The sequence below is a fragment of the Homo sapiens genome, chromosome 4 (genome assembly GCF_000001405.40).
Source record: "Homo sapiens chromosome 4, GRCh38.p14 Primary Assembly".
Lineage (NCBI taxonomy): Eukaryota > Metazoa > Chordata > Mammalia > Primates > Hominidae > Homo > Homo sapiens.
The window spans coordinates 180,095,254-180,123,234 of record NC_000004.12 but is presented as its reverse complement, the minus strand read 5'-3'; the positions used below and the strand labels follow the sequence as shown (position 1 = coordinate 180,123,234).

General features: G+C 36.9%; 2 long non-coding RNA genes across 2 annotated transcripts in view; one reads left to right on the top strand and one right to left on the bottom strand.

Moving 5' to 3' along the window:
* Window positions 1-23,629, bottom strand: part of LOC124900623 (uncharacterized) — a 49,265-nt gene extending 25,636 nt beyond the window's left edge. The window contains exon 1 of the long non-coding RNA XR_007058392.1: window positions 53-23,629. This is a non-coding gene — a long non-coding RNA (uncharacterized LOC124900623). The remainder of the gene's footprint in view (window positions 1-52) is intronic.
* On the top strand, window positions 6,034-27,737 carry LOC124900818 (uncharacterized). Its single transcript, XR_007058396.1, has 3 exons — window positions 6,034-6,591; window positions 20,981-21,237; window positions 27,362-27,737. It is a non-coding gene; the product is annotated as an uncharacterized LOC124900818 (long non-coding RNA).
* Window positions 27,738-27,981: the final 244 nt, after the last annotated feature.

Sequence of the window (27,981 nt, the reverse complement as noted above, 5' to 3'; positions counted from 1 at the left end):
CACCCTAATATTTTATCAAGTTTATAAGAGAATCATTTCAGTGGTCACTTACCGTTCTCTTATTCTCTGTGAATTTCAGGTCCAATGGTAGTTTCACCAGGAAATAAATGCAATTTTCAGTAACTATACTGCATTCAGAATTCTGCCTCCCTCTGAAAACTAAGACTTCCTCTCTGAGCCAAGATGTTTATGCCTGGGACTTTATTCCTGCAGGATGACTTATCCAGTGATAAATAAATCAGTATTCATGCAACACAGTTTTCTTCCTGGCCCATCCTACTTGTTTATTAGACATTTCCAGATGTAGCACAGTCTAATACAGACTCAAACTGAAATCTCTGTTGCAAATACGTGGAAGAGAAACAAAATATAAGTAGATTTTTATATTATGGACCAAATAAAATAATATATGTGAAAGTTCTTATTGATAAATATTGGGAATAATCCAGTGAGCATCCACTGGTCTCTCCATTTTATTTTTACTTTCTTGCTCCAGGATAAAGGCTAAAAGGCTCAGTACTAGGTAAATCATGTTACTATTCTGTTTTGACTTTGATAAAAGCACACCGTTCTAAAGGTATTCCCTTTCTCCACCTCACACTGACCATCCAGCACATTCTCATTCTAATAGCTGAGCTATCACTTTCACCTTCATTCCAAGTTCCTGTTTTTGTAATCTACTTCACACGTCAGCCCCTTCCATTTTCCTAGCTTGGTATCTGGAAAATATTATGCCCTTAATAAATGGTCACTGATTGAGTAATGTATTGCAAAAAACAAATGGCAGACTAGATAATTCAATTATAAAGAGAGCCCTCATTAATGAATTTGTGATCTTTACTATAACTCTCAGCCTTCCAGCTTTAGCCACAGAGTACGGATTTTATTTGAATAGCTACTCTAGTTTATCATGTCCTCCAGATATTGTAAAATGCAGTGTGATTTTTATCATATGATGATCTGAGAAAAATGAAATAAAATGTCACCAATTTCGACTTCATTAAATTTGAGATTTGTGATCATTTACCACGCTTCGGCCTAAAGGCTGCTTTAATAATATAATAAACAAATAAGTTGCTTGCAGTATATAACAGGAGGAATGTTAAACCCTTTGGAAAAAACACATTAATTGCTATATGCCAGCTGAAGCTACTAATTATAAATAAATTTGGGTTGAGTACATCTACTTTGAAACACATTCTGCTTAATAATAGCAACCAAAAAATAAAAAACCATGCATTTCTTTTCAAATTAGAATTTTCATGTAATCATAGCAGATATTTTATTTATTTGTAATGGTTTTTATATAATCATGAAAATTATGAACTTGAAGTTATATTCCAAATAATGTAATACAAACTCTTATTGGATAGATGTGAAAACTGAGGTCAACTGAGGTGATTTTTGTGACACACTCTGTTAAGGTCTAAGCCTGGTCTTCCCATCTCAGATTTCCTACTATTGCAGGATACTTCTCTCATTCTTTCTTCTCATTAAAACAAATTAGTAAAATTTTCATACAGTCAACACTTTTTTGAAAAAAAATTACTTTTTGACCTACATTTTGTAAAATATAAAATAAAAGATAAGATTAGCTGATTAGCTCTAAAATTGTATCAGGCTGTAAAACTCAATAATTTACCTCCTCTGAAATCTTAGAACCTTTTTTTGTAACTTTCTTAAGAGAATCTCTACTTTCTATCTGATGGAAAATACTCTCAGATATTGGTTACATTACAAGTTACATTACATTACTTTTACAAGTCTATAATTACTCTGAAAGAATGTGGTTCCCTTATTTTAAGAATAATTAAATATTTGTAGAAGAAAAGATGCTGTGACCACAAATCCTGCTCTGTTTTGTCTTGTGTGTGTTTCTTACTAGTTTATAAACCTAGTTAAAAAATGCTAAAATTTCAAATAAAAAATATTTCATTGGGCCTAGGAAAAACAGATAATATTTTTTGTCCATTTTATTCATTGTTCACATTATCTTAATTTGAACATTTGGATTTAAAAAATACTGGAAAAACACTTTTTATACAAATAGGAGATAAACATTTTTCACTAAATTTTTTTTTAGTTTTAAAAATTTTTATGTACTACCATATCTTCAATGTACCCATATATCCTAGTGATACTAGTGATACCTTAGTAGAAATATAAGTGAGTTAAACACCTTGATTGATTTGGGCTTATTAAAACAAAAACATATATATATCAGTTAGTTACTTAAAATATTTTTGTCCTTAATTGTAGCTAGTTTACAATGGAATATGTCATTTAAAATTAAGTTGAGAAGAAAATATGCTATAATCAGGCTGAGGAAAAAAATGTGTTTTAAAGGTTTAAGTTATAGTCTGTAAAAGTGACGTGAACTAATTTAACTTTGAGATCTTTCATAGAACAGGAATAAGGTTTCTGAATATTTGGCAAGTCAGCTATAGTTAAAATGAAATATTTACCCTCAGAGCATGAAATATTGCTCATATTTTGGAAAGAGTATAAAGAAACAATTAAATTTTGATTTGTGTTTATATTTTTATTAAAACACTCTACTCTGAAAATTACTAATTTTAGAAATATCTTTTTGTTTGACAGAAAATCTTTCACAACACTAAATTCTTTTATTCCTTTGTGCTGTATCCTTCCCTGAATACAAGCTAGGGGTTGGCCCCAAAGTTATTTATTTTCTTTAAATATAAAGTAAAACAGATCAACTACTATGAAATTATGATCTATTGACTGAAGCATTCATCATTACATTTAAACTACCTGTGTAAAATTTGTGTTTGGAAGCTCTTGGAGTCAATGAGAGAGCATACCCCAGGTATCGTTTCCCACTCTGTGGCTGTAGAGATGATTGCAAAGGCATCAAGGTCAAGCCTGCGGTTGGCAGAACAAGAGTGAAAGCTGCAATATCTCTCATTTAATCTCAGTGCATTGGTGTTTCTGAAAAGGGAAAACTGCTTTATGGAACTGTCTCCAGACGTTAGTCAAAGTACTGAACATGCTGCCAGCTATTTGCTGGAAACTCCCTCTTGTTAGTATGTGGGGTAGATGAACAGTGGAGAAGACTCTTCCCTACTTTACCCTTCAGTTAATATGAACATTAAGTGCAGTACCCTTCCTGGCCTTTTTATTTATGTATGCATTTGGGCATTTTATCTTTTATTTTTCCTTGCCCTGTCATTTCTTTCCTTTCTTCCACTCTTCTGCCTCCTAGCTCCTTCACTTCTTACCATAAGAAAAAATGTCATAATTCATGTAAGTAACATATTCCATTTTCTCCAGCAAAATATCTGTTATTCAACCAGGACAAAGCTTGAATAAAGAGAATCAAAAGCAAAGGAAATATTTGTATAATGGGAAGTGGAAGCTCATGTAACCAACTGGCTCATAATGAACTCTCTTTTCCTTTTTTTTTTTTTTTTTTTTCACTAAAACTACTGATATCTAGAGGTTAAATGCTGCTAGGAAGGAGATGAAGGAATGTGCTTAACAAGTCCATGGGCCTATCCAGAAGGAAAGCTTCAAATTCCCACATTTCTCCCTCCTAAGATTCAAACTTAGAGGGAATTGTTTAGGCAGGGTGCCCTTGACAGAGCAAGTAAGAACAATTTTTATAAAACAAAGAATTAGTATATACAGGTGATTAGATCCACTTGTGATGACCAGTCACTACACCAAGTTGGATTTTAGGTGTAGTTGACAACGATGAGTTTAAAAAATGAAATTATTTCACCCAGGTCTCCTAAGGCAGATAGGTAGCATGGGAGAAACCTTATGTTTTTTTTTTTTTTCTTTTTTCTTTTACAGATGAGGTCTCACTCTGTTGCCTAGGCTGGAGTGCAGTGTTGCGATCATAGCTCACTGTATCTTCAACCTCCTGGGCTCAAACAATCCTCCAACTTCAGTCTCCTGTGTAGCTGGGACTACAGACATGCACCACCACCACACCTGGCTAATTCTTTCATTTAATTTTCTAGAGACAGGGTCTCACTGTGTTACCCAGGCTAGTCTTGAACTCCTGGCCTGGTGTGAGCCACTATGTCTAGCCTTTCCTCAAAGTATTTTGGGCTGAAATATTTCTGAAGGGAGGTGAATTAGTTCGTTTTCATGCTGGTGATAAAGACATACCTGAAACTGGGAACAAAAAGAAGTTTAATTGGACTTATAGTTCCACATGGCTGGGGAGGCCTCAGAATCATGGTGGGAGGTGAAAGCCACTTCTTACATGGCAGCGGCAAGAGAAAAATGAGGACGAAGCAAAAGCAGAAACCCCGATAAACCCATCAGATCTCATGAGACTTATTCACTACCACGAGAATGGCATGGGAAAGACCGGCCCACATGATTCATTTACCTCCCCCTGGGTCCCTCTCACAACACGTGGGAATTCTAGGAGATCCAATTCAAGCTGAGATTTGGGTGGGGACACAGCCAAACCATATCAGGAGGTAAAGTATCCTTCCATAAATCTTACCCACTTCAAATGTGTAAGAGCCACTTCGGCCACAAACTATTTCCTGGAGCACACGCTGGACATGCACACAGAGCCTGTTTTGGTGACCCTGTGGCCTCCAACCATTCTGTCAACAGCCATGTCTGTTTATGCACCATTGAATTATGCATGTTTCCCACAGTGCATGGCAGTGGCTGCATCACACATATGATGCACCCAATTAATGTGTGCCAAATAGAAATCTAAATTATGACAACGTAATATTCGCATGGCACATATCAATTAACGTGTGCTGAAGAGAAATCTAAATCATGACAAACAAAACATTTTCAAGATAGAAAAGAAACGGATGTTCGAACCCATTTAAAGTCCATACATATTTGCTAAACTGATGTATTACTACAATGCATTCTCCTATTAAAATCCAACATATTTCATAATAAACTCCTTTAACACGAAGTGTACATTAAGTACCTTATTTCTGTTTCTTGAATCAAAATCCCCGTATATTACAAAAGAGGACATGGAATATGTGACTTTCAACCATATTTTTTCTCTTTGCCTAGTTTATGTCAACCTTTCCATTATCTATAATAGCTAAATAATTTGAATTACAGTGAAATAGCAGTCAGAGCCTCCTTGTATTTTGAATTGTCTTAAGAAATAAATTTGTGTTCAGTTTAGTGATGAGCTTTATGACTGTTCTAATTTCAACAATGGAAACAGAAAAGGGGGGAAATTTAAAGTGTAGACTTAAATCTGATGTGTGAGTTCATACCTAGCTTTTGAATAAAATAATCATGGACTTTAGAAGTTGAAAAAGATTTTAAAAATAATACAGCCTATTACCCATATATTACAAATGACAAGAATGAAAGTGAGGAAAGCCATATGAACTTTTCCAAGGGCATAAGGTTAACTTGGAGTAGAACCTAAATTAAAAATCAGGTTAACAAAGGCTGAATGATCACTATACCATCTAAGATTTTTCTGAAAAGCTAAGTCATTATTTAGGTCCTAAGACATTTAAGATATGAATTTTAAACTAAATGCAGACATGCTTCTAAACAATGTAAGATTAAAGAGAAGCCTATATAAATACTTCATGAAAATTTTGTGGAAAGTATGAAAAATGTCATATAGATGTACATACATACAGTTGATAATAATGTGTTTTTCTCAAAATGTTTCATATGTTAAAGTTGAAAACCATGAACATTTGTTCTCTTAAGCTTTATTTTTTGTATTCTTAAATGATATTTTTAACTGCAAATAAATGTATCCATTAGAATTATAAGAATATGTTTTGTTCAAATACCATGAATGTAAAAAAAGCATTTCAGAATAAATATTTAATTATTACCACATTCTTCCATGAAAGTAAACAGCACATCTACTCAGCACATTTTTAGAAAGTTTATGAAATACAATATCATTAAAAGACATGATTTAGGTCCACAGAAAACTTGAAATCTACATATGGGAAAAAAAAAACCCTACACTTTAATTTCCGTGGTTTCAAAAAACATGCTGGGAATAAAATGTTGTTAGGATTGACATAATACCCTTATCACTACACATTTAAGAGGAGGGATAAAAAACAGTTACATCACAATGGTGAGCACTCAGAGAGGACAATTACAGGGTACTATGAGAGTACAGGAGATGTCCCTGCCCCTGTGTGCCTGATAAGCAAGGGCTGTATGAGTGAAGTCATAGTCTAAGTCTCGGCTATTTAAAGTATACACTAGATGGTGGTGAGGATATTGGGGTTGTGAGAAAAGAGTGTTCCAGGTGGAAGAATCAGCATATGCAAATTCCTAGGAGCTTGAAGAAACCGAGAATCGTTGTGGGGTTGTTAAGATTTTAGCCTGACTAGAATATGGCTGTACAGAGTACGGCTGGGAGATACTGATACTGCAGCAAGAGGAGGTCACGCAGAAAAGACCCCTGTGAGGCCTAATAGGAAGTCTTCAGTTTGTCATCACAGAAATGAAAATCAGTAAGATTTTATCCATCTGAACCGAGCAAGCAACAGAATGCAGACAAATCACTAAGACTGGCTATGGTGGGAAGGAGTGGGGAAGAGGCTCCTAATGTGTTGTAAAACCACAGGAAAGATAAAGGTAAATGATCACCAAAGGCACAAAGTTGTCGAAGAGTAAGTAGAACTTCAGGGGGAGTTAAAAGCTGGGTGAATTGTCCAGGTAGTGAAGAGGAATAAGACCACTGCAACAGAATCAGATAACATGGTGACTAAAAGCCTAGCGTGTTTGTGAAATGGTAATAGAGTTGATTTGACAGCAACAGTTTTAAGAAAGAAAGGATGATAAAATAAATAGATTGGGCTAAATCATAGGGACAGAAAATGAGGGAGTGTAATTTATCTTTGATTTAAAACTTCGATGGCTTTTGAATCATGAAATATGGGATAGAGGGGATCAAACTTTGAACCTGGGAAATCAGTTCAGAGATTATTTCATGAACTAAGACTGGAAATTCCAAGGAATTCTCCTAGGCTTAGAAGACAGATCTGGAAAAGCTCTAAGGCTGGACAGCGAGACTCCTGTGAGTGGGGCAGGGCTATGAACTCTTGTGTTGTTTGCATCCCTGTGGCATTCCCACCAGCAGCAAACTTCACTCAATACAGCAAGAGGAAAGTTTGGAGGGGAAGTTAGTTTGTCTCCAGAAAGATGATGCACTTTAACAATAAATAAGTGCATACATAAATGCAGGTTTTGTTGAGATGTCTTTGAGACATGCAGATAACTTGGTCAGTATGTAGCCAAATACAACAAGCTCAGAGACTGAGGAAGGATAAGAAAGAAAATGGGTAGCAAAAGTTGGGGTCCTTTAAACCACAAGAGCTCCAAGGAAGATAAAATGAAGATCTACGTATTGAGGATTCCTGTTGATCCTTTCATCATCTGGACAGGAGTAGTAGTATTAGGGGATATGTTGATGGAAAATTTAATTTCCCTCAAAGTAATCAAGTGGTTACAGATATTTAGCACTTCCTAGATGATAGATATGAACACGATTTCAGTAAAATTTTGCATCAGCTGCAACAGAACCTAATTATTCTGGAATTGATTTTACAATAATACTTCAAATCATTATTTTCCCTTTATCTTGTTGTCTATTTGATAATTCTTTCTGCTTATATCTCCAAAATTAAAAAGGGTAGCAAAAATGTGAAAATAATAATAACGCATGCATCATTTCTTTCAGATCTCATAAAAGTTTGATGAGAAGTAAAGACAACATTAGTCAATTCTCTACTAACTGAGAGAGATTAATCTGAGAGAAACAGATGAAATTATATAATATTTTAAATAAATATAAGTATTATTGAAAATAACATTAAGGCATTAAAAATAACATTTGAAATAATATAAATCATAATATGTTGCCTAGTAAAGTAAAATCTAATATATACATTTTAATTAGCATAGTACTTTTGTCTATAAATTGTGAATTAATTCCTGCAATGTGATTTTTGCCTTCAAATGTGTTTTTTTTTTTTTTTGGGGGGGGGATGGAATCTAGCTCTGTCGTTTTTTCTTTGAATATGTGTTTTGTATTTCTATTCTATCATGTTAGTAAAATTATTTATTTTTCTTATACAAAAGTGAACCTCATTTTAGCACTAATAAATTACTACAAATAGTAAATTAATAAAACATGATTTAATTAAGTTTTATTATAAAAGCTTAAATGAATTTTGCCAATACATTTTAAATTTGTTTGATCTGACTCTCATTAGTACCTGTAATCTGAAATTTGCTAGTCGAAGAAATATACTTACACAACAAATTTGGAAATATAGGTATATGTATGTGTATATACACACACATGCACACACACATATATATATATACACACACACAATAGCAATACATACAATAGCAATTTTTTGGCTATTAAACTTCATTTCAGCAATGGGGAATTTAGCAAAATGTTTGGTGTTCCCTGCTAGCATTTAAATTGCAAAGTAAACAATTAGAGTAATGCAGAAAACGATGTGTGTATGAGTGCTGAACAACTTCTACCATCAACAAGTTTCCTATTGTTACAAAGAAATAGGTAAATAATAGAGACATTATGGCATTTAATGGACAAACATCCTTCATATTTTTTAATTCATTCACCTTTTAAGGACTCTAAGGGCCTCAGAATAGGCACAGAGACAAGACCAAAAATTCTATTAGACTCTAACCAGAGAATTAAGATTGAAAGAGTCACTTTTTCCATCTCAGAATGAAGCTGCTTTAACATAACCAAGTCTTCATTCATTTGCCATGCCTCCAAGGGCACTTTCTATGGATTTTATTTTTTTCCAGGGAAAATAGGTTTTTTTCTGGAAGTAACAGCACATTCTCCTCCAAACTGTTTATTCCCTCAAAGAGTTCTTCTTCCCACTGCATCAGGATATTTTATCCCACCAATCAAAGCAGTTTGAAATATCTTCCTTAACATTTTCTTTTACTGGTAAGGTTCATCAGACAAAATAAAACTATTAACAATGCCAAAAGAACTATTAGAAATGCATAGAGACATTTTACAATCATCCAATCAGTTCAACTTTACCAATTTTAAGAATTTTGCAATTTTAAAAATTATATAAATTATAAAATATTCCTCCAGGTAATCAACAAACAAGAATGTCAACAGAGAAAAGCTATTTAAAAGTATCTATTAAATGTCATAACGAATAATGGTAGATAAATCATAACAAAAACTCAAATGCAGAATAACATATCAGAATTTAATTAATTTGGCTGTAAAATCTGTATATCAAGAAACATATTTTATCTTCAAATAAAAACACATATGGTCATTTGAAGGGTGATGATTTTCCTGTACTGCTCTATACTTCTGCTTTCCCATCTTTTTTTCTTAAGCCAATTTTTTTTACCCAATCTCTGTATAACTGCACAGCAGAAAACTATTTTAACAGTTAGTTTTAACATAGAAGAGCAATCTTTAGTTGTTATTTTAGAAAGGAGATACGAACAAGGTGATATTTGGAAGCTATCATCATTTAATTCAGGAATTCACAAGAAAGCCCGTGTGCAAAAGCTGGAGGATATATTTCTTTGGGAAGTGTATTTCATATGATCTAAGCGCCTTTGACTGTACTATCTAATGTGGGTGTAAAATTGGGCAGGCTTAGAAATGAGTGACAATTAGTCCTAAGAACATCATCTAGTTAGGAATAAACTAATTCATATGATAGTGCCATTGACAGGTTAATGGTCTCAGGAAAAAAACAAAAACAATTTTTTAAAAAACCATTCTAAATTGTTTTCTCATTTCTGCGGTTTCCCCCCTATATGTCTCCCACTCTTTATTATATATAGAAACCTAACATGATGATAGCCTGAGGTGTTATCAAGTTCAGCGGTTTCAATGGTATTTAACTCACACAAAAAATAGGCAAATACTTTATTATTATGAGATCAGCATTTGCCCAGAGGTTGCATAATGTGGCTTAATCTTATTGCTGCTTTTTAAAGAAGAATTCCCTACTCTTCAATTATAAGTTTTTTTTAATTGGGTTTTTAAAATTTTAAAGGCCTTTAATAATAAATTATCCACAGCATGTCTATTGCCAACCACAGACGCCATCCCACCCATTGCTGTTTTTAAAGTACTTTATAATTAATCACAAAATTAACTAATTTTATGACACAATTTTGTTTCCATACCTAATCCATTGTTTCATCTTCTAAATATATGAGTGGTTCATAAAAGATATGATAAAATGCACAGTGTAAAAACATATAGTATTAATGCAAAGTTAGATCTAATATTCAAATAATATAATACCAACGATAGTCAAGCATAAGCTCTAATATGTTTCATCTTCTTTATTCCACCTATTTCTAAACACATTAATCAAGATCTGACTCAAAGTTCACTTATTACTTGAAGATAAATTTAAAAATTCCCTTAGCAAACAGGGTGCTCTGGTGCCTGGCAATAAGAATATAAAGAGAATGTAGAGCCTGACTTCAAGAGGTCCTGTCTAGATAGAAATAGATAATTATAAAACAAAGCTGCAAGTTTTTAAAAATGGAAATATGAAAATGTTAGTGATGAAATAAAGAAAAGAGTCTTTTATTTTGTTCTGGAAGTCAAGAAAAGGCTTACTAGAGGCAGTGAGGTATCAGAACGAGAAAGTACTCAACAAGTAATTGACCGGCAGGGGACAGAGACAGGTATTTGCATTCAGTGGGAAGAGGCTGGAATGAAGTCTTCCAAGCAGACATGACAGCAAGAACAAAGGCACAGAACTGAGTGATAGAATGGCCTATAAGGGGAGCCACAAGCAGTCTGCATTACTAAAGAAAAATGGAAATCCAGACAAAAGAAGCCATGGAGAATGAGGCTGGAGATGTATGTGTACCAAGGTTTAATCAACAGGACCATGAAAATTATATTTAGGAAGGTGAGATTTATCTGATAAGCCATGGAAACATCAAGATATCTTGAGCATGTGGAAATGCCCCCAGATTTGTGTGTTTGGAAATTTTATTATCTAATTACTGGAAACTGCTGGAAAGATATATTTGAGAAGTACAGTTCAGAGAAGGTTAAGGATATAGTTGCAACTATAATATATGGGGAGTAAAATGACAAGATGTGGTGCTATTTGGAATGGAGAGAGAGAGAGAAGTCAAAGATGATGCTCAGATTGTCTGCCATAGTTGTTCAGCATGTCTCCAAAATGAGCACCCCACCTCCACACTTCCTAAGTGACTTTTGGCAAATTATTAAACACACTTAAATCTTAGTTCCAAAACTACATAATTGTAGTAGAGTGCTGTGTGCTGTACAGGACTGTTAAGATTAGTTGAGATATTTCATGTAAAGTACCTAGCATAGTGCTCGGCACATACTACTATGAACTCAATAAATGTCAACTAGGTACTATAATTAATACTACCAGGAATTTCATGTAGCTATTAGTACCATAACTGAAAAAGAGAAAAATAGAAGATGTTATCAGTTTAGAAAAAAAAAGAAGATGATAGGTTCAATTTTGGAAATTCCATTGACTATGGAGGAAGGCATCCATGTGGAAACACCCAAGATATTACAGTACCAGTCTGATTTCAGACACAGTACGATGGTTGAGAAGATCAATATGACAGTAATAGAATCACAAAAATATAGAGCAATAATATTTTAAGGGCAAAAGAAATGAGAGGTCTTAAAAAGACAGAAAAGAATAGGTAGAGGTGCTAGTGGAGAGTGTGGTGTCACAGAAGCCATGGGAACGGGGGTTTGAAGACAAGATTGGCTAACAGAGATAAACGTTAAAAGGAAGTCTAGCAAAACAACTGAAATTGCCCATGCATTTGACAAATAGGTTAAAACCTTACTAAAATAATTGTGTGGACTAAGCGTATAAGCCAGAAGGTAACAGGTTGAGCAGGGATTCAGGTTGAAGGGTTAGAGACAGTGAATGAAAATTGCTTTTCCAAAAAATTCCATGAAAGTAACCAGCAGGGACCCTAAAGTGAGAAGCATGGTCCAAGGGGAGCTTTATGTGTGTGTAAGGTGTGTGAGTATATGCAGGTACCTGCCAGGGAGTGGTAGTTCTGTTTTTACATATTGCAGAGTTATTGTTTAGAGGAGAAAATGTTCTTAGAACAGGGAGCAGCTCATGACACCAGAAAAAACGGGGATGGACAGGGCTAAGTTGGAGTTAGTAGATGAGGCATGTGTTAATAGTTTGAGTGACTGACTTGGCTTTGAAGGAGATTTTGTCCTCTGAATCTAAAAGGAAATAGATAAGAAAAGCACAGACAGGCATATATTTGTAAATATTATTGGGGACAGAGGGCTGTCAAGTGAGGTAGGAGCCCTATGCCAGATGCTTGAAATGTTTTCAATAAATGAAGGAAAATATCATCTGCCAAGGCCAAGAGATCTGAATTTCAGAAGACTGGGGAAGGTTTGAGGTAGCAGTAGGCAGAGGGAGTGCATGAGCTGACAAATGACAATGAGAAGCTTGGGGAGCATTGACAAATGTCTGGCTGAAACTAGAGACAATGAAGGTGTAATGGTTCCCAAGTGCATAACTGCATGATTTTCTCCAGATGGATTCCTGTGTCTGGGTGTAAGAATGTGAAAAGTAGATGTTGTTACCAATGCCATGTTGATGGCATCATAGATTGTGGTCAAAATGTAGTTGTGACGATCAAATATGGACCCCACACTGTGAAGGGTGTGAAGGGTTCCGGTGGGCATGATAGACAAAAAAAAAAAAAAAAAAAAAAATTAAGCAATTGAGGGACTAGGGAGTTGAATGAAGTTGACTAGAAATATTCATTCCTGCTCAAACTCAAGGCTCCAGTAAGAGCTTATATTCACAGCGCTTCACCACTGTGGCCACTGTGGTGGCATCATACATACCTTGCCACTGTGTTCAGGCCAGGGTATTCCTCCCCTAAGCAGATCAATTTGTGTCGTTCCTGGAATTTTTCTACCAGATCTGGGGAGAACTCTCACTTTCCCTTTCTTTTTGTGAAGTTCTCAGTATGTAAGTTCAGATTCGCGAGGGAATCGATGTAATGTTTAAAAGAAACAGATGTGGAAGAAGGACAGAGGGAGGGAGAAAGTATGGAGAAAGAGGGAAAGAGAAAGTGAGAGACAGAAGAGAGAATGGTAATGATGATATAATTGCTATTAGGGATTAATATGAACATTCTTAAAAAAAATAAACAAAACAACTTGGGACCCACCCAGGGATGCAGAGTCCCCATCCACAGTTGTGTGAGCAGGTGGATTTTCCCACCCATGCACTTTTTGAAGACCTAAGTCTTTATATTTAGTTTAATAAAGGTAATTGATAAAATTAAGCTAGTTACGTTATACTATATATTTTGAACACTTTGCCAAAGCATCTGAAGAAGCAGAAAGACAGGGAGCATTATCAGCTCCCAAATAAAAATAATTTTTTTTCCAGTTAAATGATTCTTTCCATTGCATTCTCTACATTACTCTGAAACTAAGCTCAAAGTAGTCAAGTTTTAAAGAATGTCTATCTGGTGTAATTAAACTATGAATTAGTGTTTAGTAGAGATTAACGTTTAGAGTAGCTCAAAGGGATAATAATTCTTGCATTTAGCTGTAGAAGTTTAAAGTGCTTTTGGGTTGTTTGTCTTAAACAGAGCATTCTGGAAAGTTCAATTTAGAAATTATAAGAATGAGTGGAATTCATATTTTATAGCTTTGGTCCCCAATCTTTTTGGCACCAGAGACTGATTTCATGGAAAACAATTTTTCCACAGATGGGGTGGGTGGTGGTGGTGGTTCGGGCAATGATTTTGAGATGAAACTGTTCCACCTCATATCTTCAGGCATTAGAGTCTCATAGGAACACTCAACCTAGATCCCTCACATGCACAGTTCACAATAGTGTTCGTGCTCCTATGAGAACCTAATGCTGATGCTGATCTGACAGAAGGCAGAGCTCAGGCAGTAATGCTCGCTCACCTCCTGCTGTGCAGCCTGGTTCCTAACAGGCCAAGGACTGGTACAGGTCCACAGCCTGGGAGTTGAGGACCCCTGTTTTATAGAACAGATGAGCCAATTCATCAAATACCCATCATGTGATAACTATTCTATGTGCTATAGTCAATTTATTTACCTCACCATGCCTATGTCTACAGATTACATCTCTCTCTCTCTCCACACACACACACACGTACACACACAAATATAAACTTGTAGAACGTTTGGTTTTGCCAAGTTTATGAGCCTAGAAACTATACTAAGATTTATTTGACAAATCTAAGTCTGAAGAGACACAGTTATTTGAGCAGACTCTCCCTTCCAAGCTGCACTTGTCCTTTCCTGCCAGCTCAGGCTCATTTCCATACTGAGGCTGATGTATGGGGTGGATTCCTGAGATCACTCTTTTATCAAATTTCTCATCTCTCAGACAGGCTACTCTCTATACCCTCCTTCTTTTCAAAAGTTCTCTTTGAGATCAAGTGAGGAATCTTTTCTCCTATAAAAGAGCTTCTACTTTCAGTTTTAGTTGGACCTAAAACAGTTCTTTTCTTTTGAAATGTTGAGATAGTTCTTTCACGAGACTGGTTAGATTTCCAGTGTCATGAGTTCCAAGGATGGAGCCCTGGTGCGCTCCAACATCCACATGTCAGAAGCGGAAAATCTTTTAAGGAGACCTAGCAGGAATGACCAGTGAGATAGGATGAAACAACCAGGTCAAATGCTCCAGATGGGGCAATTAAGATGTGGACCAAGAAGTGACATTTAGACTTGGCAGTGTTGCAGTTGTTAGTGCTTCTTTACATTCGCAATTTGTAGAGATCGGTGTGGCAAAATCTGATTGACGTGCACCAAATAGAAACTGACAGCAAGGTAATGGATGATCATGGCTAAGAGAACTCAGGCAAGGCGTTCTGCTGAAAAGAGGAATGAAGATATGGGGCAGTAACTGGAGGGGAAAGTGGGGCTAAGAAAATACTTGTTATGTATGTAAGAAATAACAGCTGGTGAGAAAGACATAACAGAGCAGAGAAGAAAATGAAACAATGACAGCAGAGAGTTGCACGCTGATCTCCTTGCATAGGTGACAGAAGATGAGATTTGGTGCATGTAGTATATGTTGAATGAATGGAAGAATAAATGAATGAATGAATAACTCAAAGAATCATAGAAAGACTTTCTTAATATTTGCAGCATTGTATTAGATACAAAATATTTGTACTACAAAGTATTTGTAAGCAAAATAAAATTATATTCCATTCACAGAGTCTTTAAAAATAGTAAAAGAACTATGTTATCCAAATAGTCAATCAATTAACAAAGTCAGTGAGCATCCACTATAGAATGAGCAATATGTCTGACATTATCAAAATCAAAGAAAAGCCTAAGACAGGTTTGTTACCCTTAAGGTATGCAATGTATGGTTAAGAAACATGCAGTATGTATAACCAGCTGATAAACTGCCTACATTATTCAGTGTTTAATATATCTTAGTATATTTATTATTATCATTAAAATATCATTAAACTACTGCTATAGTTTTTTTTAAACCCTGTGGTCAATTATTTCATTTGACTCAAAGTACAAAGATACTCTGTGAAAAACGAATCGTCTTTCCTTAGGCAGCTTCACTGATATCTAGAATGCAAACTGCTCTTAACATTCCTAATTTTGCTTTTTTGCCTAATGTTCTCCCTGGGATACAAAATCATTACCCTAAGGACCATATCAGTGGAAATGTTCTTTTATTCTTCTAAGGCAATGTACTGCCCAGGACACTGATTTTACTTTGATTGTTGATTTCCTTCTCCATTTTCCTAACACAGACATTTCACATGTAGTTTTACTGTTTTAGAGTCAGTAAGGGTTCAGAGCTCAGATTTGGAGTCAGGCCGGCCAGGATCTCATGCCACTCACCGTAGGGACCCTGGAATGTGTATGAAGTTCCCTGTGCTCCGGCATCCTCATCTGTAAAATGACGCTAATGACAGCATGACTCACACAATTTTCGTTAGGATTAAATGAGCAAGTACATTGGAAATAATAGAGGGGTGTATAGCACATGGTAAGTACTCATTGAATATTAATCCTTTATATTCCATAGGCCTTCTGTGACTCATGCCTCAGTGCCTGGTTCAGTCACGTTCTATACTATTTTTCCTTGAAAGAGGAGGACAGTCTTAGATTTTTCCCAAGTCCTCAATGAGGAAAGTGAGTACTATATCCAAACTGTGCAGCAAGTGTAAAAACAGACACAAATTCAAGATTACTTACAACTGACTATGGAAATATCCAAGGATGTATCATGTTTTTCATATCAAATTTTGAGAATTCATACATTATCATGATTTGTCCCATGGAATGTGTGTAAGTAATTCCTAAATTACAGACATGCCTTCTGCAGTCCTCTTCTCTGAGCTCTGGGTTTATTTTCACATGTCTTCTTAATGTTTCCACTGTGATGGCCTGATGGAATAGCAAGTAAAATATATCTAGAACCAACCTTATATTTCCATTACGCATATTTCCTACTTCCCAAAAAACAAGCCCTCCTTGGAATGTCTTTTTTTCCATATGTGTCATTGCCCAGTTCTGAATTTTAAATTATGACTTCATCTTTCAATTCACTTCAATGTCCATGCTCACAATACCCATGATGTTACCGTGTCTTAGAAAACATATTCAAAAAATTGGAATTTTTTATTCAGAAAGAGAGATGTGGGCCAGACATAGTGGCTCACACCTGTAACACCAGAAATTTGGGAGGCCAAGGAGGGAGGATGGCTTGAGACCAGGATTTTGAGATCAGCCTGTGCAACATAGCAAAACCCTGTTCCTATAATAAATGAATGAATAGAGATGTGGTATGTGGGTGTGTATGATCTGAAAATGACAGCCTGAGGTTACGTGAGAGTATGAATCAGTGAACAAATGGGTTTGGCAACTTCTAGTCATTCCTCAGGCAAATGTCTTGCAAAAAGAATCTAAGAGGAAGACATGGAACATATCCATATAGGTCAGAGCTCAGCAATTGGAAATTTAGAGACATAATAACTCATGCGAAGGTACTGAGGCCCAGAGACTGTGCTTGAAGCTTTTTCCAAGTGTCATCTCATTCAATTCAATTCTTAAAACAAACTTGTGAGCTATTACTGGCCCCATTTTGCAGATTAGGAAACCAAAGTTTGAGAAGCCTCATTCACAAGCAAAGAATAAACATGCCAGGAGGAAGCTTATTATGTGGAAAAAAAATTGTTAAAAGTAACAACCGAATTTTATTATTTAAAAAAGTGGTATGTGCATATAGATGTGTGTATGGTACTACATCAAACTGTTAACAATGATATTTGTGGTGTGTGCATATAGATACGTGTGTGTGTGTGAGGTACTACATCAAACCGTTAACATGATATTTTCTTGTTGGGAGATTTCTGAAATTTGATCTGGGGAATCAATTCTTGTCATCTGCCAGCAAATAAGTAAAAATGAAGACAGACTGGTAGATCCTAAAGGGATGGCACAAAAGACAACAGAGATTCACCTAAGCGCCCATCAATGGATACATAAATTTTTAAAATGTGGTATATACACACTGTTAAATATTAGTTAGACATAATAGAGAATGAAATCTTGTCATTTGCAGCAAAAACAACAACAACAACAACATCGAAAAAAACAAAGTGAGTCAGCAAATAATTACAGGGACACAGGTAGGGGGACTAGAGAACCAGTGCAAAGACCAGAAGCACAGAGATTGCCCCATATTTGAAGAACGACTAACACAGAAAAGGAGTTCATTTCTTCATTAAGCCATAGGCTCTGATGCCCAGTTGAGAAGAATCCCTGTGCTATTTACTCCAATATTGCTATCACTCTATTTTGCACATACCAATGCACCATGTTGAAATGCCCTCCCTGCCAATATAAAGCCTATCTTGAACCTGTGAGTCAAGCCTTCCACTTTTTCAGGGTAGTCCAGTTTATAAGACATGTTTCACTTTTGAACTGCTGTAACTTTTATCTGGTCAACTTTGCTAATATTAGTTACACAGTGATTCTACTGCCATACAAATCTTGCCGTGCATATTTTATCTCTACAACTAGATTTTATGCTCCTTAAACATTAGGGCTTTACCTTATTTTTGCTTCCTTGCATAAAGCTTTTAATGCGGTGCTTTACTTGTAGATCTATTTGATAAGCATTGGTTAATTAATATACTGAATTTTAGATGCAGAATTCTTTATAAGCAGTAAGGAGAAACATTAGCAGAAATAAGACTAGGTAATGATCTCTACAATTTAATTCAATATAATTAATGTGTGTGAATTTAAAATAAAATTTTATATGAATAAATTGTTAGAGTTGAGATTTTCATATAATGAAACAAGAAAATTTAAATTAAGGTTTCCCTTAGTAACCATAATTCATTCCCTTATGCATGTATAACATTTCATTGCTATTAATTTACAATTAGGTTTTATATATAAATATATAGGTAATGAATAACCCTGACAATAAAAAGAACATATAGACTATTAAAATAATGCCTTAAATTATAGTGTGTGGAAGATCTCTCTAATTCTGCTTTAATATTACAAATAATTTTGAGAATTTTCACAAAAGTATCTCAGAGTTACACTTTTTCATAACCAGCTGTGCTCACCATTTTTCTAGTCGTTCGAATCTTTTCTTTGCACTAATTTTCCGATACATTCTTCTATTACCTTAGCATTTTAATATATTTTAGCCTTTAACTCCTAAAACCCTTAATAATCATAATATCATATATTTACTAAATTATTTATAACATGATATTTTATACAGATTATTGCACACATATCCCACCATAAGCTAGTGATTTGTAAAAGTGGAGTATTTTCATACTAATTGTAATGGATACAAGGTAGATTCAGTGCAAATGTTAAAAGACTTACACACAGCGGAGAACTGTTAAGAGGCACAGAGAGTAACCAAAGTCATGTTTTCTGATTCCTAATTTAATGGTCTCTATTTACCAGTGGGGTCTTGAGAGTCTTAGAATATACCATCTTATAATCTTTTAGACTCTTTAACATTTTGATCTAGATGCTTTAATTACCTAGCCAGATTAAACACCCTCAGAAAGCAGGGATTTTTAACATTTTGGTTGCCGTAGCTTAGCAAAGTAGCAAACAAATAGCAGTCACTTGAAAAATATGTGTTTTTCTTTATAACATTGGGAATTATTTCCAAATAACTATCATGACTCATCAAAAAGCAAAACAAAACAACAACAAAACTTCCTTTCGTGTAATTAAGAGAAATCAATTTCTAAAATAAATCATATCAATACTTAGACATATATTTGATTTTAAAATTAAAGCTCACATACATGGAAAAATAAAAAATCATTCCCATATCAGTGAGTCTCGAAGTTGTCTCTGTATTATATGATTTGTTTATTTAAAATACAGATTGTTGGGCCCTACTGCATACTAAGGAGTCAGAATCCCCAGGAGAAATCACAGAGATTTACATTGTTCTGAAGTCCTATCAAGCCATTCTTATACTCACTACATTACAAAGATACTTTTGTGAATGTTGATGTGTAGAAATGTTCACACCCTCTTTTACTTTGCTTCCTGAAATAACAGGGATACTAACACATGTAAGTGTTGTTTCACTGCTTACTTTTTTCATTTTAGAACTTAAGAATTGTATTTCTTTTAAGGTAAAATTTTGTATTACAATGTATAATCTAAACTTTGATTTGAAAAGACATATTTTTCCCCAAGGTGATACCTTTTTATTAAAAAGCGAGGGAAATATATTTCAGATATTGAATTTTACATTTAATCTATCATGCTTCAGATTACTATGTTTAAATTTGGCAAACCATTTTTAACTTAAGTAATCTGTATAGGTCAGGCTTCAATTTCTAAATTCATCTAAAGTAAAAATGTACACACTAAAATTTACACTACTTGTATAGCTAAAATACGTCATATCCTCACCCAAAAACAGCTGAATAGATATTCTCTTTACCTTTTAACAATAATTTACCTTTGGGCAAAAAATGTGTGAATCCAGAATGTAGCCCCACGCTTAAATTAGGAAGGCTGTAGGTACTTATAGGTGAACAATCTGTTAGCATTTACGCATACAGCACTAACTTTGTTTAGTTATATAAATTATGTTTTTCTTTATTTAGATGTTAAATGCATTAAGTCTTTTCAAAAATAGTTATTAAATTAAAAATCATCCAAAGAGTTCTATATATAGGAAATAATGCAAACATTGGGACAAATGTCCTTTTTTTCTTCCTGAGCAGATGTTGGCATTTGGAGACACATTTTAAAAAAAAAAAAGTATTACCTTTACTCACTTCTATCACAAACACAGAGTCAAAGAATTTCTACTAAATTCCTCCTGTGACTTGTATAACAAAATATTAATGCCTGCTTCTAATGTTTTCTGCCAGATGCAGAAGCAATTAAGAAGTATAAATGATTAAAAGACTAGTCGATGTAATCAGCATAATCAATAGGATCCAGGATACCAGGTCCATGCAATTTTTGGTCCACAGGTATAAAGACAAAGACAGAGAGGAGACAAGGAACACAAGAGCCTTGACCCTGGTTGTGTATATTTCAAAGGCTATGTTATACAAAATGACTTATACAATCCAGATTCAATAGTTGGTTAATACGTCAAGTTCTAAAGTCAGATATTATGAAATATATATAAAGTTCCATAGACACATGGAGTCAACAAAGGTCAGTTAATACAACATTGAACATATTTTCTGGAATAACTGATCAATGTCAACTAATAAAAGAATACAGTGCCAGTAAAGGTGTGAGTCTATCAATAGTGAGAAAATGTGATAAGGGCTTCTAATGTCTGTGCTCGCCATATGTGGAACCATCAAGAAGGTTGTTCTGCCTGCAAAATCTACCATAGTGAGTGTCCAATGGCTAAAACTACTTTACTCATTTCTTTCCTAGGTAGTCTAATGAAATGAAAATACTGAGATTGGGGCCCCAGATGGCTGAGTACAAGCAGCCAGTGTGCACTGCGCTCATGGAAAAGAGAAAGAGGAACAAGTGAGCACTAGCTCCTCAACTGGATGGGCCAGGCGTACACACTGGGGTTAATCAAGGAAGCAACACAATCCACAAAGAACAGAGAAGAGCAAGACAGGACAGCCACCTCCTCAGGACTGGCACAGACTCAGGGGGAGGCTCCCCACTGCCGGGAAACGGTGAGTAAGGGAGAGCCCTCGGGGTCCCACACTTCTTCCAGACCTCTGAACCCTGGGCTCAGGAGATGCACCATGAACCCCGTGGCACAGCCAGGGCCTCCTGATTGACACGGAGAGCTACGAGGAGTCCGGGCAGAGCTGCTGTTCAGACACACGCAGAGTCCGGGGATCTTGGACCCCTGGGAACTCTGGTAGCAACCAGGGGCTGCAGCTCCAGCAACAGTGGAGGCCAGGCTCCCTCACACGTCCCTAGGAAAGGGGCTGAATCCCTAGGGCTGAGCAGCGACAGGCCGCAGGCCTCGCCTCCACTGCACCTGGATGGACAAGGCCGACTGGCCTGGGAGCCTGGCGTGACCACCGCAGTGCCGCCTGTACTCTCAGGCCAGTGGTAGCCCTGCCCTTGCCTGAGACAGTGATCCCAGAGAGCACAGGCTGGCCTGCAGGTTTTGCTGCTCCACAGTCCCGCTCCTGCTTCTCTCAGGCTCAGCTGGAGCGAAGTGATTAAGGACTAACGCCGGCCCCCAGCACCGCAAGGCTGTCTTAGGAAAAGGCGGCCAGTTTTCCACGCGGGTCCCTGCCCCCGTTACTCCTCACTGCACGGGGCCTCCTGACCTGGGCTCCCAGCACAACCCCCCTTCCCCGGCCTGATCACTTTAGTCAGTGGAGGCTCTGCTTTTCTCTGGGGAGGGGGCGGGGAGAATAGCAGAGACAACCCACAGCCCCTCTCCCATTGCAGCCGCAGCAGGCCCACCCTTACCGCAGGCAGGCTGGAAAAGGAAAACGAGCCAGGTTGCATTGCTGACATCCCCGGCACACTGAAGCCACCGTAAGGAGAGGATCCCCCAGCCCCTCGGGATGGAAGACCAGCTGCCCCATTCCCGACTAAGCATTCCCACTGGTAGTGTCTCTGTGTTTCCCTGGGGTGGATGGAGTTCCCAGAGGCAATGACAGCCCCTCTGCCACCACCACTGCAGCCGTTCTGCCCTTGCTGTCCTGGGACTGGGGAAGGAACAAAGAGCAGGAGGGCTTCACTTGAACCACCAGCACGCCAGGGAACTCAGTCTCTCTTCCATGTGAGCCCCCAACCCCCAAGTAGGGCCTTCAGCTTGGGCGGACGCTGCAGCCGCCCTGACTGAACATCCCATTGACAGCGGCTCTGCACGTTTCTCTGGGGTGGAGCTCTCAGAGGCAAATGAAAGCCACTCTGCCACCGCTACTGCAATGACTCTGCCCCTCTTGCCCTTGGAGTGGGGAAGGTACAAAGACCCTGATGCTTTACTCACACCTCGAGCAAGCCTCAGCCGCCCTAAGGAGAAGAAGCCAGTCTGTCTTCCCCATAAGCACCCCACACCCCTACTCATCACTAAGCAGGGCGCCCTGGCTTGGGCCCACAACACAGCCGCCCCAGCCTGGGCTGATGGCTCCAACTGGTAGCGGCTCTGTGTTTCTCTGGGGCGGAATCTCCAGGGACAAGTGAAAGGTCCTCTGCCACTGCCACTGCTGAGATCCCTGTCCTTGCTGCCCCCAAGCTGGGGAGGGAACATAAAGCCTGAGCTCACCCCAGAGCTGCGGTATGGTGTGCAGCCTGAGAGTGCCAATCCAAGATCTGCAGCCAGCATTTGAGTGAGAGAGGAGTCCACACTCAGAAAACTGAGAGGCAGTTTGACTGCAAACCCTAGGAAACACAGAGAAGCCACGTGGCTGAACGAGTGCCTACCTACCATCCATTATGCTTATCCCCCATCTATTGGACAACAGCCCAAACTGCCACACCAAAAATACTCTGCTGACAAACACTGCTCCCAAGAAAACAAGGACAAGAATTCAACCACAAATCAAGATGCAGCGCAAAGCCTCAGCCCTCTGAAAACAACCAGAAAGGAAGTCAACTGACTTTACTCAAATTACACCACAGTTAAAGGAACACCAGACCACACAGATGAGGAAGAACCAGCACAGAAACTCTGGCAACTCAAAAAGCCAGAGCGTCTTCTCTCTTCCAAATGACTAGCTCCCCATAAATCGCTCTTAACCAGGTTGAAATGGCTGAAGTGACAGACACAGAATTCAGAATATGAATAGGAATGAAGATCATCAAGATTCAGGAGAAAGTTGAAACCCACTCCAAGGAATCCAAGGTTTACAATAAAATGATACCGGAGCTGAAAGACAAAATGGCCATTTTAAGGAAGAACCAAACTGATCTTAATTGAGCTGAAAAACGTACTCCAAGTATTTCATAATACAACTGAAGGTATTAACAGCAGACCAGATCAAGTTGAGAAAAGAGTAAACCAACCCCAAGCTAGCAAAAGGCAGGAAATAACCAAAATCAGAGCTGAACTGAATGAAACTGAGACGTGAAAAACCATACAAAAGACTAACAAAATCACAAATTGTTTTTTTTGAAAGAATAAATAGGATAGCTCAACCACTAGAATAATAAAAAAAGGAGAGAAGATCCAAATAAACACAACCAGAGATAACAAAGGGGACATCACCACTGACCCTGCATAAATACAAAAAAGAATCAGAGACAGCTACAAAAATGTCTGTGCACCCAAACTAGAAAACCAAGAAGAATGCATAAATTCCTGGAAATATGCAAGGTCCCTAGACTGAACCAGGAATAAATTCAAACCCTGTACTAACCAATACAAAATTTCAAAATTGAGTCAGTAATAAAAAGCCTACCAACCAGAAGCAGCCCAGGTCCAGACAAATTCTAAGCCAAATTCTATGAGATATATAAAGAATAGCTGGGACCATTACTACTGAAACTATTCCAAAAAACTTAGGAGGAGGGATTCCTCCCTACTCATTCTATGAGACCAGCATCATCCTGATACAAAAACCTGGCAAAGATAACAAAAAAAGAAAACTTCAGGTCAATAACCTTGATTAACATACATGCCAAAATTCTCAACAAAACACAAGAAAGCTGAATCCAGCAGCACATCAAAAAGCTAATCCACCATGATCAAATAGGCCTTATCACTAGGATGCAAGTTTGAGTGAACATACACAAATCAATAATTATAATTGATCACATAACCATAACTAAAAACAAAAACCACATAATCACTGCAGTAAATGCAGAAAAGCCTTTTGATAGCATTGAGCATCCCTTCATGTTAAAAAACTCAACAGACTTGGCATTGAAGGAACATACCTCAAAATAATAAGATCCATCTGTGACAAATCCATAGCCAACATCATACTGAATAGTCAAAAGCTGGAAGCATTCCCCTTGAGAACCAGAATAAGGCAAGGATGCTCTCTCTCACCACTCTTATTCAACATAGGATTGGAAGTCTTAGCCAGAGCATTCAGGCAAGAGAAACAAATAAAGGCATCCAAATAGGAAGAAAGGAAGTCAAGCTCTCCCAGTTTGCAGATGATATGATTTTACACCTAGAAAGCCCCACAGTGTCTGCCCCAAAGTTCCTATATCTGATAAACAACTTCAGCAAAGTTTCTGGAAACAAAATCAATCTACAAAATCAGTAGCATTTCTATAAACCATTAATGTCCCAGCTGAGTGCTAAATTGAGAACGCAATCCTGTTCACAATAGCCACAAAACAAGATAAAATATCTAGGAATGCAGATAATCAGGGAAGCGAAATATCTCTATACAACAATTACAAAACAGTTCTGAAAGAAATCAGAGATGACACAAACAAATGGAAAAACATTCCATGCTCATGAATAGCAAAAATCAATATGGTTAAAACGGCCATACTGCCCAAAGCAAATTTAGTGCTATTCCTATGAAATTACCAATGACATTTTTTCATGGAATTAGAAAAAATAATTCTAAAATTCATATAGAACCAAAAAAGAGACCAAATAGATAAAGCAATCCTAAGCAAAGAACAAATCTGAAAGTATCACATTACCCGACTTCAAATTATACTACAAGGCTTCAGTGACCAAAACAGCATGGAACTGGTACAAATACAGATACACAGACCAATGAGAATAGAGAGCTCAGAAATATGGCTGCATACCTACAACCATCTGGTCTTCGACAGAGTTAACAAAAACAAGCAGTGGAAAAAGGGCTCCCTACTCAGAAAATGGTAGTGGGAAAACGGGCTAGCCATATGCAGATGATTGAAACTGAATCCCTTCCTTGCACCATGTAAAAAACTCGACTCAAGATGGATTAAAGACTTAAATGTAAAACCTAAAACTATAAAAACTCTTGAGGAAAACCTAGGAAATACCACCCTATGGGCTATGGGTGGTATTTCCCATGGGTTATGGGAAAGATTTTATGACAAAGACACCAAAGCAATTGCAACAGAAATAAAAATTGACAAATGGGATCTAATTAAACTGACAGCTTCTGCACAGCAAAAGAAACTATCAACAGAGTAAACAGACAACCTGTAGAATGGGAGAAAATATTTGCAAACTATGCATCCAACAAAGGTTTAGTATCTTGAATCTGTAAGAAACTTAAACAAATTAACATACCAAAAAACAACCCCATTAAAAGGTGGGCAAAGGAGATGAACGCTTTACAAAAGAAGACATATATATGTCCAAGCATATGCAAAAATTCTTATAATCAGTAATCATTAGAGAAACACAAATCAAAATCATAATGAAATACCATCTCACACCACTCAGAATGGCAATTATTAAAGTCCAAAAATAACAAATGCTGGCAAGGCTATGGAAAAAAAAGGGAACTGGTACATATTGTTGATCAGAATGCAAATTATTTCAGCGACTATGGAAAGCAGTTTGGTGACTTCTCAAAGAACCTGAAACAGAACTACCATTTGATCCACCAGTCGCGTTATTGGGTACATAATAAAAGGAATATAAACCATTCTACCATAAAGACACATGCACGTGTATGTTCACTACAGCACTATTCACAATAGCAAAGACATGGAATCAATCTAAATGCACATCAACAGTAGCCCAGATAAAGAAAATGTGGTACATATAGGCAACGGAATATTACGCCGCCATAAAAGGAACAAGATCGTGTCCTTTGCAACAACATGGATGAAGGTGGAGGCTGTTATCCAAACAGAACTAGTGCAGGAACAGAGAACTAAAACTTTTAAGTGGGAGCTAAACACTGAATACACATGGACACGAAGAGGCGAACAACAGACACTGGGGCTACTCGAGGGTGGACGGTGGGTGGAAAGCGAGGACCGAAAAACTACTTTTTGAGTACTTTGCTTATTAACTGAGTAATGAAATAGTATGTACACCGAACCCCTGTAACATGCCATTTACCTATAGAAACAAACTCCACATGTACTCCTGAAACTAAAATAAAAGTTTTTAAAAAGTTAAAAAGATGTCACCTACTTCCGAGATTCTGGAAAATATCTTTTGCGAAATGGAATGTTAATCCTTTGAGGACTGCATTATATCTACATTAACATGTTCTGTGTGCTTTTATGGAATCAGAAGGTAAAGGGCTCTGCTAATCATAACTGTTGGGGTAATGCCGCTATTGTTCCACCATTCTGTCAGTCAACAAATATGGAGAATTGATTCTGCTTCTGTATTTAGTTAAATATATCTGCAAATTGTTAATTTCTAAAGATACACAGTATAAACTCAGGAGGGACAGCCAGATGAGTATTTAAATATGACAGTCATTTTTGTGTAACTCTTATAAAAATATTCCAGACCATGCATGTCTGCATCTGGATGATGAGAGTAAATAATATTTCCTAAGAATTCTCTAAAATGAGCATTATTTTAATAGATGATTTAGTTCTAAAAAATAAAATACTAATAGAAGTATACCGTAATCAGACATCCATATCTCATTTTGGTGAATATCTTTTCTAGTATGGCTGCTATATAAAAATACTGCTTTCAGAAAAAAGGAAAAGAGTAGAAAGCAATAAGGCAGAAATAGTTTTAGGCAAGGCATAGCATTAGTGGATTCTGAGAATTAGATCACAGAACAACATTCTGAAAGTATTAGTTTCCCTTCTAAACTTGCTTCTTGAGGTCTCATATTCTATTCTCTAAGGGTCCTGTAATCTCTTGGAGGGCTTAAGATCATTGACTAGGAAGAGGGTTAGCTAGATTGTTGAAATATTTTGGTACTCTTGATCCTTGTCTTTTATCCATAGGAGGAAAGCTTTGTGAGTAAGCAGGGGCCACAGCTGTTGCAGATCATTAGGATGCTTCTCTCAAGATAACTCCAGGCCTGACTATTGCCCATGGTGACCAAGGATGGCCTCCTATCCAGGACCATAGGACAAAATGGATTTTCACTCTGTGTTTCATCCAGCATTTTGGTCACATAAAATTGAAAGACTTTCAACATACTTAAGTCAGCAAACAACGAAAACACAGTCAAAAGAATGGGGGAGGCATCATGTGTAGTGTCTTTAGTTTGTCAGAAATCTCAGAAGTAATTTTTTCTAGTGAAAAATAAATAAATAAAATATAGAGACAAATGAGTGAAAAAGAAAAATTGGGAGCTTTGAGAAAGAACAACTAAAATCTCTGTACTTTTTTTTTTTTTTTTTTTTTTTTTTTTTTTTTTTGAGACAGGGTCTCCTTCTGTCACCCAGGCTGGAGTGCAGTGGTGCCATCTCGGCTCACTACAACCTCTGCCTCCTGGACTCAAGCAATTCTCTGACCTCAGCCTCCTGAGTAGCTAGGACTACAGGCAAGTGCCACCAAGCCTGGCTAATTGTTTTTTGTTTGTTTGTTTTTTGTAGAGACAGAGTTTTGCCATGTTGCC